This window comes from Homo sapiens, chromosome 10 (genome assembly GCF_000001405.40).
Source record: "Homo sapiens chromosome 10, GRCh38.p14 Primary Assembly".
Taxonomy (NCBI): Eukaryota; Metazoa; Chordata; class Mammalia; order Primates; family Hominidae; genus Homo; species Homo sapiens.
Genome location: NC_000010.11, coordinates 9,443,071 through 9,457,375, shown reverse-complemented (window position 1 = coordinate 9,457,375; position 14,305 = coordinate 9,443,071). Strand labels below are relative to the sequence as shown.

At 34.8% G+C, this 14,305-nt stretch overlaps 1 long non-coding RNA gene across 5 annotated transcripts in view; it reads left to right on the top strand.

Annotated features, from left to right (window-relative positions):
• Nucleotides 1–14,095, top strand: part of LINC02663 (long intergenic non-protein coding RNA 2663) — a 434,814-nt gene extending 420,719 nt beyond the window's left edge. For all 5 annotated transcript variants that reach the window (XR_930643.2, XR_930644.2, XR_930645.3 and 2 more), the window contains 2 exons: nt 844–954; nt 13,845–14,095. This is a non-coding gene — a long non-coding RNA (long intergenic non-protein coding RNA 2663). The remainder of the gene's footprint in view (nt 1–843; nt 955–13,844) is intronic.
• Nucleotides 14,096–14,305: the final 210 nt, after the last annotated feature.

Here is a 14,305-nt window from a genome sequence, read left to right as displayed (position 1 = left end):
TGCTAAATAAGCCAGACTAAAACATATACATGCTGCATGGTTCAATTTCTATATTTTTTTAAGAACTACAAACTCATCTATAGTAGGGAAAAGTGGATCACTGGTTGTCTGGGGATGGGTGGTTGTTTGAGAAAGAAAGGCAGGAGGGCATGACGAAACTGTTCAGGGTGATTGATTTCATTTTCATGATCATGCTGATGGTTTCACAACAGTATATGGTGGGTCAAACTTATTGAATTGTTCCCTTTAAATATATGTAGTTTGTAGTATGTCAATTACATATTGATACACTAAAAAAAAAGCAAATTAAACAACTAAACATGTATACCAATCTAGGAACATTAGGAATTGACAGGAACAGCTCATACATCTGTGTAGCCCCAAAGGACATCATGATTTTCAAACTAGTAAAATGTTACCTGTTCATGACTTAAACCCCAACTCACAATACATTATACATTTCATTTGTTAATTCCAGGAGTGTTGTAATACTTTAGGAATATTTTATTTAAAATAAGAGTAGATTTAGTATTATTTTTAAAAGAATAAGCCTCAGTTAACTGAAAAAAAAACTCTCCTATTGGAAAAGCGGAGCCCTTGAATATAATCAGTAAAAAAGTGGCACTATTCTAGAGTTTAAGTCTATTTTCTGTAAAGCATGGAATTTCGTATCTAGAACACTAGCATTCTATTATAGCATTCTGTGAGCACAAATGAACTATAATTGCTGTTCAGTTTCATGCCTGCAACATAATAGAGAACTCACGGTAAAATAAAAAACAAACAAACAAATAAACAAAAAGCAGCATAACAGATAGAAAGGACTCTGTTCTTAATTTGCAGTGATACCCAACCATTGTGAACAAGCTCTGTCAACACCATCTGCTCCACAAAGGAAAGTTGCTGATTATTGCATCTCTAAGTGGAGTCGGTTCTCTCCCACGATAGCAGAAGGTAAGACAGTGACAAGCATTTGAGGGGCTCTTGCTTGTTTTTATGATTGATGATTTTTCTATTGAAAGAACTGGTTTGTGAACTCACTGGTGCTGATGAACAGAGGCACTGCTAAGGGCAGAAGCAGTCTGGGAGTAAAGCAAAAAAGAACAGAACTTTCTTCCCCTTGACTTCTCAGCTTCCTACACACAGCACTTCCAAACAAATGTTTCTACCAAGATCTAATTCATGTGATCACCTGTGTATTCAGTGGCAGCTGCAAGCGATGTTTTTATATTGTGTATCCCAGCACAATATACATGAGACCATTTAAGTAAATAGTATTTCATATTCCCGATTTATTATTTTGGCAGTATTTAAGCTGGAAGAAATTAAAGAGCTCTCCAGGTAAAGTGATATAACATTTTTACATTCTCAAATATAATTATATTAATGATGGATCACTGAAATTAATAGCTACAAAAAATGACAATAAAATTATGAAATACAATTGGGAAAGACATTAGTTATCCAGACTTGATCTAAGGAGTTATTGACATTGGGTGAGACACTCAAATTCATGGAACTATAGTTTCTGAATCTCTAATATCAGATTGAGGATGCCATATTTCTGCAAAGAAAAATGCAGTTAGTTGCCTCTGCTTTAGGAAGGAATTGATTGATTATTACACTGTACAGAAACAAGGGCTTCTGCATAATATTTCATAGCTCCAATATAAATTCAGAATTTCTTTGTTTTGTTTTGTACATCTTGGATTGAATCTTGAAATTGAATTAGATCTTGGAGTGTCTAAAAAGCCAAGAAAAAAGAGGCCTTCCAAATATTCACAATAATAGGGCAGGAGAATTTTTAGAGGTGGCAATCAGTTTTCTCCCATTTCCAGGAAAATTTTACAAAGTACAAATTATAATTATGGGTCACCAGTTAATACTATCTCTCTGCCATAGTCTGATTCTTATACAGAGAGCAAAATCATTTGTTTTTTAATTTATATTATTTATATTAACCTATTTTGATGATGAGTTGAAGGTGAAATTCTTACCTGTAGACTAAATAGAACGTATCAATATTCTACAGACAGCAAATTGTCATCGTAAGTAATCTATTAATTTTGAAAGACTTCATTGTTCAAGGAATACATATGTATACTTATAAGCTATACACATTTATTGCAAAATTAGCTATCTTCACCTTCTTATGCAATTTTTCACAATTTATTAGTCCATTACAGTATTTATGAAGAACACATTATATCTCATGAACCTTCCACAAAACAGTTTTGAGGTCTTGATCAAATTACTTAATTTTTCCTTCAGTTTCTACATTTTTTTATTTTTTATTTTTGGGACTGTCTCTCTCTGTCGCCCAGGCTGGAGTGCAATGGCACTATCTCAGCTCACTACAAACTCCACCTCCCAGGTTTAAGTAATTCTCCTGCCTCAGCCTAGTAGATGGGATTACAGGTGCCTGACAGCATGCCTGGCTAATTTTTGTATTATTAGTAGAGATGGGATTTCACCATATTAACCAGGCTGGTCTCGAACTCCTGACCTCAGGTGATCCACCCACCTTGGCCTCCCAAAGCGCTAGGATTATAGGCGTGAGCCACTGCACCAGGCCCACTTTATTCTTTTAAGGTCATAAAATAAGGATAATAAAAGCCTGTCTCAAAAGTGTTTTCTAAATATTAACTGAATTAACTGAGGCAAAATACATAGATTGATTCCCAGAATACAATGTTACCAATATTTTTAGCTAACTTGCTTTGTACGTACCAAGAACTGTGGTAAGAATGGGCCAACCATGGTATAATTAGATTGATGTAGTTCGTTGCTTCTCAGAACTTAGAATTGAATATGAAAAACCGACACTAGTTATCGGGGGAGCCAGCCCCCAATATTTCAATGTAGATTCTTTCTATTTTCCATAAGTGTTGGCCAGCCTGAGAAATAAACAGAAAGAGTACAAAGAGAGGAGTTTTACAGCTGGGCCTCCAGGGGTGACATCACATAATGGTAGGACTGTGATGATGACCCTGAGCCACAAAACCAGCAAGTTTTTATTAGGGATTTTAAAAGGGAGGGGTTGTATGAACAGGGATCAAGTCACAAAGATCACATGCTCCAAAGGGTGATAAAGATCACAAGGCAAAGCCAAAATTAGAATTACTGATGAGGGTCTATGTGCTGCTGTGCACATATTGTCTTGATAAACATCTTAACAGGAAACAGGATTCAAGAGCAGAGAACCGGTCTGACTAGAATTTACCAGGCTGGAATATCTCAATCCTAGTAAGCCTGAGGATACTGCAGGACACCAGGGCATATTTCAGTCCTTATCTCAATCACATAAGGCAGACACTCCCAGAGCGGCCATTTATAGACCTCCCCCTAGGAATGCATTAGTTCCCTAGGGTATTAATTATTCATATTCCTTGCTGGGAAAATAATTCAGTGATATCTCTCCTACTCACATGTCCATTTATAGGCTGTCTGCAAGAAGAAAAATATGGCTCTATTCTGCCCGACCCCACAGGCAGTCAGATCTTATGGTTATCTTCCCTTGTTCCCTGAAAATCGCTGTTATTCTATTCTTTTTCAGGGTGCACTGATTTCATATTGTTCAAACACACATGTTTTACAATCAATTTGTACAATAGTGTTCCTGAGGTGACGTACATTCTCAGCTTATGAAGATAATGGGATTAAGAGATTAAAGACAGACATAAGAAATTATAAGAGTATTATTAGGGAAGTGACAATTGTCCATGAAATCTTCACAATTTATATTCAGAGATTGCAGTAAAGACAGGCATAAGAAATTATAAAAGTATTAATTTTGGGAACTGATACATTTCCATGAAATCTTCACAATTTATATTCTTCTGCCACGGCTTCAGCCGGTCCCTCCGTTAGGGGTCCCTGACTTCCCACAACAAGTAGTTACACATTGTTAGTTATTGATTTAATAATAAATATTATTTGCATACAAACTGTGTAAAAATGGAGGAAAGAATGAAAACATATTCACCACCAGTGCTGCTAAGATTAGAAGGGATGATGTTAACAGGTCAGAGGAGAAAGTTAATAAGAAGTTGCCTAGGTTTTCAATTTTGTGTAGCTGTGTAAGGGGGACAGGTACAAAGATGCTCAGATATAGATCATAGATAATAAGGCATCACCTGTGCATGATACAGGTAGAAAATTCTGTAATTTACAGAAAGGAAAATCTATGTTTCAATTGTATGAAAATGAAACATTTTATAGAGAATGCAGAGATTAATAATGATTTAATGTAATATCTAATTATGGCTATTGGAAGTCCTTCTAGTTTTAAGGTCACAGAATTTTAATATTATCAGGTGACCATAGGAAGTTGGAATAAAAATGTTCCAGTTAAAACTACAGTTTCTAAAACTTAGTGGTGCAATTCCTGTGGATGACAGTGAGTAAGAGCTAAAGACAGTTTCAAAAGACCAAAGAACGTATAGAACATTGTAACCAATAAAATAATTATTAATAAATGTTGATATTACCCACTTTTTTGCATGAGGATTAGATGAAATCTACTGTTAAGAAGTGGAGGGAGGAAATGGTAAGGTTGACTTAGGTAAATAGTTTGTTCAATCAAATGGTTATATTAAGCTCATACACTGTACATATACTAAATAAATATGTTTCCTGGCATAGTATAGAATGATTTCCCACATAACCAATGAAATTCCTATTTTCTTTGCTCATTAGTTTGTCCTGAGAGTAGTAATGGCATTTTGCAAGCTGTGCCTGGTTCATTTTAAAGTGATCTCCTGGCCAGTTTAGAAATATTGAAAATATACTACTAAGAAAAAAAAAACTTTAGTTATCTACATGGACTGAGTGATTGTTTTTAATCACAATTAAGTGCACTTGTATGTATTTAGTTGTGAGATTGGCATGAACCCTAGTACTCAGAGGTACTCTCAAAATACAGGGTGATGAGTCTTGGGAGAGCAATGTGAGAGACCACATTTTAAAGTGTTAAATCAAATGCACACATGTTCATTTCCTTGTTATCTGGAGGTGGCATTCAGATGCCTAACTGCTGATATATATATATTTTTTTCACAGACAAGACATTTGGCTTCTTACTCAAGGGCTTACTTGGAAAGACTGTTGAGTTGGCAGCTATAGCCACTTTTCCATTGTCAGAAATGAATAAAAATGCAAGGTCTAGGATGATTCTTAAAAACAAAACTTCCTTTTGTTCTTTCATTGCACACATATGGATCCTTGGAAAAAGAAATTATTTTCCTTCTGTCTCTAATTAAGTTTTTATGCATCCCTGGCCTGCATTAAGCTAGAAAAACAGGGATCTCGCATAAATGAGATTTCATATGTGAAAGTACTTGGAAACTGCAAAACACCATACAATTCTGAGACATCCACAAGCATGTAAATATCATAGATTCTTCCATCTTTTTGATGAAACCATCACTAATTACCTTAAAATATAACATATCCTTCTTATAAATCTCATTATTTTAACCTTGCAAGTCATTCCTTAAAACCTCACATAAATTTCACACCACCAAGAATACGCTCAAACTATATCATCACCATGGAAAACTTCCCTCCTTCCTTTGCTTTTGTAAAATATCTTTCACTTAAAAATACCTATTTGACAACCTATGTCTGCAAGACACTATCATATGTCCTGAAATATAGAAATGAAAAGAGGAGAAATATTTCTCCCATAGAAAGCCAAGATTATTTTTCCTCCTCCATTTCTTCAAGACAGAAGAGGAAAGCCAGCAGGCTAGAAGATGGTGGGCTGGGAGACAGTGAGGTCAGATTAATTTACAAGAACCAGCAAGTTTCAGCACACGGTTAGCCTGCGTGCCAGGGAAAGGAGAGTGGATTTCATTTTAAATGCAATGGAAATCTACTGGGAGATATTCAGCAGCAAAGAACAATGGCCTGATTTATGTTCTTTAAGATGATTCTGATTTTATTAGTACTACATTTAGACCCAAGCAACAGGAATCTTCTGCCCTGAGCCCCATCATTATAGAAAACTCTGCATAACACAGACACCCAAACAATAGATGTATTAAAGAAGACATGCCCTCCTCTGTCTCTAGGCACACATTGAGCAGTCCTGGCAGAGGACAAAGGTGACCACAAATACCTGCTCTTGAAGAAAACAATGTTTAGACCCCAGGGAAATGCTTCTCCACATCTCTTGGGCTATGTCCTTAAAATTGAAGGGAGCTGAGTTTTAATGCCATAAAAGTTCATGAGTCGTATCCTTGTCAAAGTTAGAAATATTCCTTCACTGCTGCAGTATACAATAACAACTTGAACAGGAGGCATAGTTAGGTAAGAGAGGAGACAAACATGTTTACTCGAGGAACCCATTCTCTCAGTTGGCATGGATACAGTGGATTTTTGCACTCTGAAATTATCATTGCACAGTAGTGTCCAGCATTCATTTCCTAGCATCTATTTATTGTCCAATTCATGATTCTGGGAATACTTAACAAATGAAAACACTATTATAATTGCACTGTAAGTCAAGGAATATTTTGCAATTTTAAATAAGAACAGCAAACTGTAGCTCCTGGATTAAATTCTGCCCATTTCCTGCTTATATAAATAAGCTTTTTTTTTGGCCCTAGCCACACAGTCAGTTGTATATGTATTTTCTGTGCCTGTTTTTGTGCTGTGACAGCAGAGCTCAGTTGTTGCAACTGATACCCTGTGGACTGAAACCCCTAAAATATTTACCATCCAGATCCTTACAGTAAAATGTTTCCCTCATCTGTGCATGCCTGAAGTGCAAAGCTCATTCTTCTAAATGCTTAGATATTTCTTAAGAGATGGTAAAAAAAAAAAAAAAAAAAAAGTAGCTGGCTGTGAGGGAGCACAAAGGTATTTTACTGAGAAGAGTAGTAAATAATGACCATGTACAACTCATGCAACATTGGTAATAACAGCTTTATTCATAACATCCCCAAACTGGAAAGAACTCAATGCTTTTCCTCAGCCCAATTGATAAGCACGTTGCAGTATTGTATTCATCCGTTTTTATGCTGCTGATAAAGACATACCCAAGACTGGGCAATTTACAAAAGAAAGAGGTTTCACAGTTCCATGTGACTGGGGAGGCCTCACAATCATGGTGGAAGGTGAAAGGCACTTCTCACATAGCAGCATACAAGGGAAGGGTGAGAGCCAAATGAAAGGGGTTTCCCTTTATAAAACCATCAGCTCTCATGACACTTATTCACTACCATGAGAACAGTATGGGGAAAATCACCCCCATGATTCAATTATCTCTCACTAGGTCCCTCCTATAACATGAGAAATTTATGGTAGCTACAATTCAAGATGAGATTTGGGTGGGGACACAGCCAAACCATATCAAGTATATCGACAAAATAGAATCCTCTTCAGCAATAAAAAATAAATAAATTCCACATATACCCAACAGCATGCATGAATCTTTAAAATATTAAGCTGAGTGATAACAAGCAAAATAAAGAATTATTGAAAGATTCCATTTATTTGAAATTCTGGAATAAGCAAATGACATTACATTGAATAAAGGAGTCCAATAGTTGCCTGCAGCCAAAGCTCTAGGGAAAGCGGCTGACTACAAAGGGCCTATATTGGGAAACTTCTTAACTTCTTTGGCCCCAGTTCAAAGACAAAGGAAGCTGATCTTTGGTGGTTGGACTGGTTGTATATACAGTATATCTAAGCCTAAAAGGGAAGCATACATGAATTTTGCAAGCAGCTGTCTCCTTTTCTGGCAAGCATTAAAAACTGTTTGATTTATTGGGGCCTCTTGTACTATCTTCAATGGAAAAAGAGTAAGAATAAACATGCAGATGACACGGGGCCTGGAGCTATAAACACTGTGATGGATATCAGCAATGACACCCCAATTTTTCTTGAGGATGATGCACCTATCTCCCACCTGTGGGGATTAGGGTCTATTGACTGCCCTAGCATGCTGCTCACTGGGAATCTCCCTCAGCCTTAGAGCACTGCCTCATTCAAGGTTGTGTCCTCTTCCAGAGGGCCACACTTGGGCAGTGGCCAGCTGATGAAGGAACACAAAGTCTGGGATCCCTTGCCTTGCTTTGGAATTCCAGCTCTGGAGGACCAATTTCGTTGCATTTTGAACATCTATACTTTTACCTCCACTCAAAAAATTCACTTCTATCACAGTGAAACAACGTTCAAAAATGCATTAAACCACAAAGTCAAAGAGAATGAGAAATGACAGCAAGAAATGTCCACAAGATGGTGGAAACTGTGAACTCAATGGATGACTGGAACCTGACTTAGAAAGAGTGAGGAAAGGGAAATCAACAACAGACTCCAAGAGATTAAGTCAAAAGATCAAGCAAGCTGATGTGTATCCAAGAACCTCAGAGGCCCACAAGTTGGAATGTAATTGCCATTGATGGCTAAAATGTGGATTGGGGCTGAAAGTGCAAGGATTAGTTAGAAGACTTTAGGAGAAACAATTAGTGTGTAAGATCTCTTTTCCTACCCTGTCAACAAGAACACTATTCTGTTCATCCCAAAAAAGGACTAAATATTTAATCTATGTAGCCGTTTAACAACAGAGGCTCTGGACTTTGACCACTAGCCATGGTTGAAAGTGGAAGTGCTATATTATGAACTGTGAGACCACCCACAACCCCCTTCTGTTCTTGACCATCTGAGCTCTCTGTCAGCATTTCAGTGCCTCATTCTTAAAGATGGAAATGTAAATTTGATAAAGTACTTAAAAAATAAAACATGCATAAAAAGAGAATGTAGAGAAACCAAAGACAATTCACAGAGGAAATTTTCAAAATAAGTACAATAAATTGTTTTATCACATTAAAATATTAACATCTAAAAAAGTAAACTACACAAACAAAATTTAGAGAACAGGGTAAAGCCATTAAAAATTAAAATAACACTGCAGAAATTGAAAAATAATTCAGCAATATAGTTAGAAGACAAATTAAAGAAGATCTCACAGAAAGTAGACCAAAAGTCAAGAAAGATTCCAAGAGATACAAAAATCTTAATAAGCTCTTTGAAAAGAAGGAACATAAAATGTGGAAGAAAGACTATCCTTCAGAAATAATTCAAACACTTCAGAAGGTCTTTGGCTCCACATAGGATATGAAAAAATACAAGAGAATATTACTCTGACACTAACTACAAGAATAAAACTAGGTGATCTACAAAATCATAACTTTTCTTGAAGCTAGCTGAGGTCTAAAGTAATTCAGAAAAAATTAATTCCAACAAGGAACAAGTCTCTTCCAGGATAAACAGATCACAAAAATGGTTTTACCTTTGGTAGAACAAAAAGAGGAAAAGTGGCAACCATGCAAATGATATCTGTTGGAAAAGGTGGACAATGCAGGAAATTCCAGCAGAGAAATGAAAACTAAGAAAGTATCAAATGGAATAACAGGTGATTTAAAAAAAAACGACAGAAAAGTTGAGAGGCTTTTCTTTAGATATAGCAATACTGCTAGACAAAACCATGAAGAAAAAGGTCAAACAAAAACACAAACCAAAAAATATGGTGAAAAAAACCACAGCTACCAAGAATGATGGGACAACAGCCAATGGTCTAATGAGAACATAATCATAGATGCAGAAGAAGAGGCTGGGGAGTGGGTGGATAATGGAAGTAACAATTGAAGAGATAATGGCCAAAATTTTTCCAAAATTAAGCAAATACCTCAATTCCTGGATCTAAAAAAATTCAGAATGCCCAAAGCATGATAAAGACAAAAATATATATTATTGCCAAAGTCCTAAAAATTGAAAGACAAAAAGAAAATCTTGAAGAACTGAAAGGAAAAGAAAGACAGGGAGAGAGAGGAAGGGGAAGGGGGAAGGGACAGGCAGAAAGGAAAAAAAGGAAGAGAGAGGAGGAGGAAGGAAGGAAGAATTATTTACAGAGAGAAAAATGTAAGAATTATACCATACTCTTGTTAGAAAATACACAAGCCAGAGAAAAATGAGTAACTAGTTCAAACTATTGAATAAGAAAAAAAAAAACAGACAGCTTATAATTCTATATTGGGCGGTGGGGAAGAAGTATCTTTCAAGTATCAAGGCAAAAAATATTTTTCAAAAAAAAAGAAAACTTGAGAAAATTTTGGGGAGAGCAGATTTGCTTCAATAAATAAGATTGCTTACATCTGACTGTAAAGCAGCCCCTAACTATTTTAATGAATAATGTTTGTTTGGATATAGTCATACCCAGTCACTTATTATCTGTGGCTGTGTTCACCCATAACATAAAAGTTGAGTAGTGAGAGAGACATTATGGCTCAAAAAGCCAAAAATATTTTTCTATCTGGCCTTTTACAGAAAATAAGCAAGCTGACTCTTGACTTGGCATAATAGTAACAAGTTATAATAGCACTAAATATTTATCAAAGTAAAATGTGTAAAAATTGTAATACAAAGAATGGAAAGGCTGAACTGGGAGGATCACCTTGGAAGGTTCCTATATGAGACATTAAGTGATATAACTATTAATAATAAGTAGACTGTGATAAAGACATATTGTAAATGCTAAATAAATTACTAAAATAATTATGGTTATAGTTATAACTAATTAAGTCAATAAAGATGAATTAAAATACTAAAAAAATAGGTAATATTGTAAAAATAGGCAGAGAGAAAAAGAACAAAGAACAGGTGGAATAAATAGAAAGCAGCAAGATGGTAGATTTAGATCCAATTATATTGCTAATTATATTAACTACAAAGAATTGAAACAGCCTCATTAAAAAACAGGCATACTGGATTTGGGGCAGAAATGCAAGACTAAACTCTATGCTGTCTTTAAGAAACATACATTAAATATAAGATACAGATAACACAAAAAAACAAAATATTTAAATAGATATATAATGTAAACAATAATGTAAAATACCTGGAATGGCTAAATTAATATCAGACAAAATACATTAAAACAGGGGATATTAATGGGGCTAAAGAGGGACATCTTTTGATAAATAAAGCATCAATTCACCTAGAAGACGTAATCCTAAATGTGTATTCACCAAACTACAAACTTTTAAAATACCTAAATTAAAAACTGATAAAACTGAAAAGAAAAATAGAGTAATTATTATAGTTGGGGATTTCAGCACTTTTCTTCTTGTAATCATTAAAAAAATAGAAAAAAGATCAAAAAGCATATAGAATACCTGAAAAACACTAGTAACTATCTTTACTTATTGATATTTAAGGTACAGTCCATGCAACAACAGCACAATACATATGTTTTTAAGTATACATAGAACACTTGCCAAGCTACACTCTATTCTTGTAATACATAATCCTCATGCTAATGTAAAAGAAATAAAGTTATACAGTATATTCTCTGATCACAATGGACTTAAACTAGAAATTAGTTATTGAAGGACCTTGGAAAATTTTTCATATATTTATAAATCAAACAAGGGACTTCTAAATAACAAATGTGTCGAAGAAGAAGTCACAAAAACATTAGAAAACACTTTGTTTAAAAATGGAATCTCAACTTATCAAAATCTATGGGACAAAAGTAAAGGTGTCCCTAAAGTGCAGTTTATTGAATTAAAGGATTACATTTTAAGTAAAAAAGTTTTCAAATCAGTTATCTAATTTTACCCCTTAAGATAATAGAGAAAGAAGAGTAAATTAAGCCCAAAGTGAGCAGAAGGAAGAAAATAAAGATAAATGGAAATCAATGACTGTAAACAGAAAAACAATAGAGAAAATTAATAAATCATACCAAAATCTCATTTTTAAAAAATGAAATTGATAAGCTTGTAGCCAGACTGATCAATAGAGAAGATAGAAGACAAAAATAACCAATATCAGAAATTAAAGAAGGAACTTCACTCAGTTCCTGCAGACATTAAAAGGATAATAAGAAAATATTATGAACAACTTGATGGATGAATGTAGAAGCAATCCATACCCCAACAAAACTGGGCCATGGTCTCCTTCTATTTTCCCACAGCACCTGTACTTAGACCTTATCCTTCAGATCCTCTTGAATTCCTTGTTTATTGTTTTGTCATTTCCTAGGACATGTGGTTGACCTTATAGTCAAAGCTGGTTCACAATCACATGCACATTTCATCTGTTTGAGGAAGTGGCGTAGATGGTGAATACATCATTTCTATTCATATTGCATTTAACCATGTAGGCAACCTCTAGCTGGGAATCATAGTCTTTATCTGGGTGGCCATGTGCCCTGATAAAGTTGATGCAATGCCAAGGAGTTCATTACTAAATGTAAAAGAGAAACTAGAGGTTGAATGCAATTAACAATCTCTGTCATAGCCCTTCACGAATATTCCTCTGGTTAACACATTTCAAGGCATCATGCCCTTGAGAAAGTCTTCTTTAACCCAATAGACTTGGGTTATGTGACTCTCCTCTATATTCCTATAGCATCCTATACTTATAAATGTTGCTAACACCTGCTATAGTATTTATGCATCAGTATCTTCCTCTACACTCTAGCATCTGGTAGGTTTACAAACATTTACAGTTGAATATATGTATGACTTGATAAATAATTGATGAGCCTCCTTTCATTTCAGCTGAAGTTTAATAGATGTTTACCATTCTCACTCTTTTTTTTTTTGCTTTTACTTTTTTTTCACCTTCCCTCCCTCCTTTCTGTAATATTAACCCTCGCTGCACTTACATATATTAGAACTCAAATGAATATTAAGACATATAGGTAAATATTTGTTAATATTAATCATGATCAAGTGTTAAATAGTGCAATATTGGAGAAAATAAGGTAGAAATAAAGTGAGCTTGAAGTTCAAAAAAAATTCCACAGAGAATGCATTTAGAATTATTGGAACGACATCAGACAGCAATTTAGGCAAAGGGAATTCTCAAAATATTAATATGTTAATTAAGCAATTACTACAATTTTTCCATTTCTCATTAAGCATTTATGGAATAACTATTACATGCAAATATGTAGGCTATACAATGTATTCAGAGACCCTATTTCATTTTTCTATATATGAAGAATCTACCTCTAAGATTTTATTAGAAGTTTAGAGAAATTAACATAAAAAGAAAAATACTCAAAAGTTGAAATGATTAATCTTCAACTGGAAATTTATGAATCTCACATGATTTCTTATTCAAAAACATGTCTATATTTTGGCATCAACAATAAATCAGCATTTTCAAATTGTACCAATTGTTTTACGGCTCTTGAAGCAACTGCAAAGGACACCATTGACAGGCTTTCAAATATATCCCAGACCAAAACAATAAAAATAAATAGAAGAAAACAATATAATCTATCTGACATTTCCATGAAAATTGAATGCTCTTCTTCTACAAACAGAGAAGAGAAGTTTTATTATTGAATGCCAAGGATCACGTATCCATAAAATGCCAAGAGATTTTGCATGTCACTCAATCACACAGCTGACAGCCTTCAAGGAGAACTGCTTCTCAGTGAGATGGAATGCTTTAATGAGCTAATTAGTTAGCTCATGAAGGTGATTCTGTGACATTACTTACAGAATTGCTCCAAAGTGTACTTATTCTTGCTGTTATTTTACAATAAATCATCTTACCTTATGACTCTAACTCTAATATTTACTTTAGAAATGGAAATTCTGTTAAACAGCATTTTTTCCCTGTTTGGCAGGCTATTGATTTTTATGTTGCAGTGATTTTAATTATTTCATTCTGAATTATTTCCTTGTATTTAGTGGAATATAATTAGCTTTACCATTAGTGCAAAAAGTTCTAGTCTATAGATCATCTCTGATAATAGATCAAAATAGAAATAAACCGAGTTCTGATCATCATGACTGTAAGCTTCCTCGTCTCTTTTTTAGGCTTTCACATTCACTATACTGTTATGGACATGGAGGATGGGAACCATTGCTTTGTTTACTCTGCAACTTCTTAATTATATCACAAAAGACTCGACACATAAGCAGTATCCAGAAAAGCAAGTCGACTACATAAAAATCAATGCATGATTGTCTATAGCCTTTGACATACTAGGACCAGTCAAGATATGTGTGGAGGGTAATGAAGAATGGGCAAATACCAGAGAAAAGACAGCTGAGTGTCCATGATAAAGAAGCTGGAGGCAGGGGCCTAGATTCCTTTTATTTTATTTTATTTTATTTTATTTTATTTTATTTTTGAGTTGGAGTCTTGCTCTTTCACCCAGGCTGGAGTGCAGTAGCGCAATCTCGGCTCATTGCAACCTCTGCCTCCTGAGTTTAAGCGATTCTCCTGCCTTTGCCTCTCATGTAGCTGGGATTACAGGCTTGCACCACCATGCCCA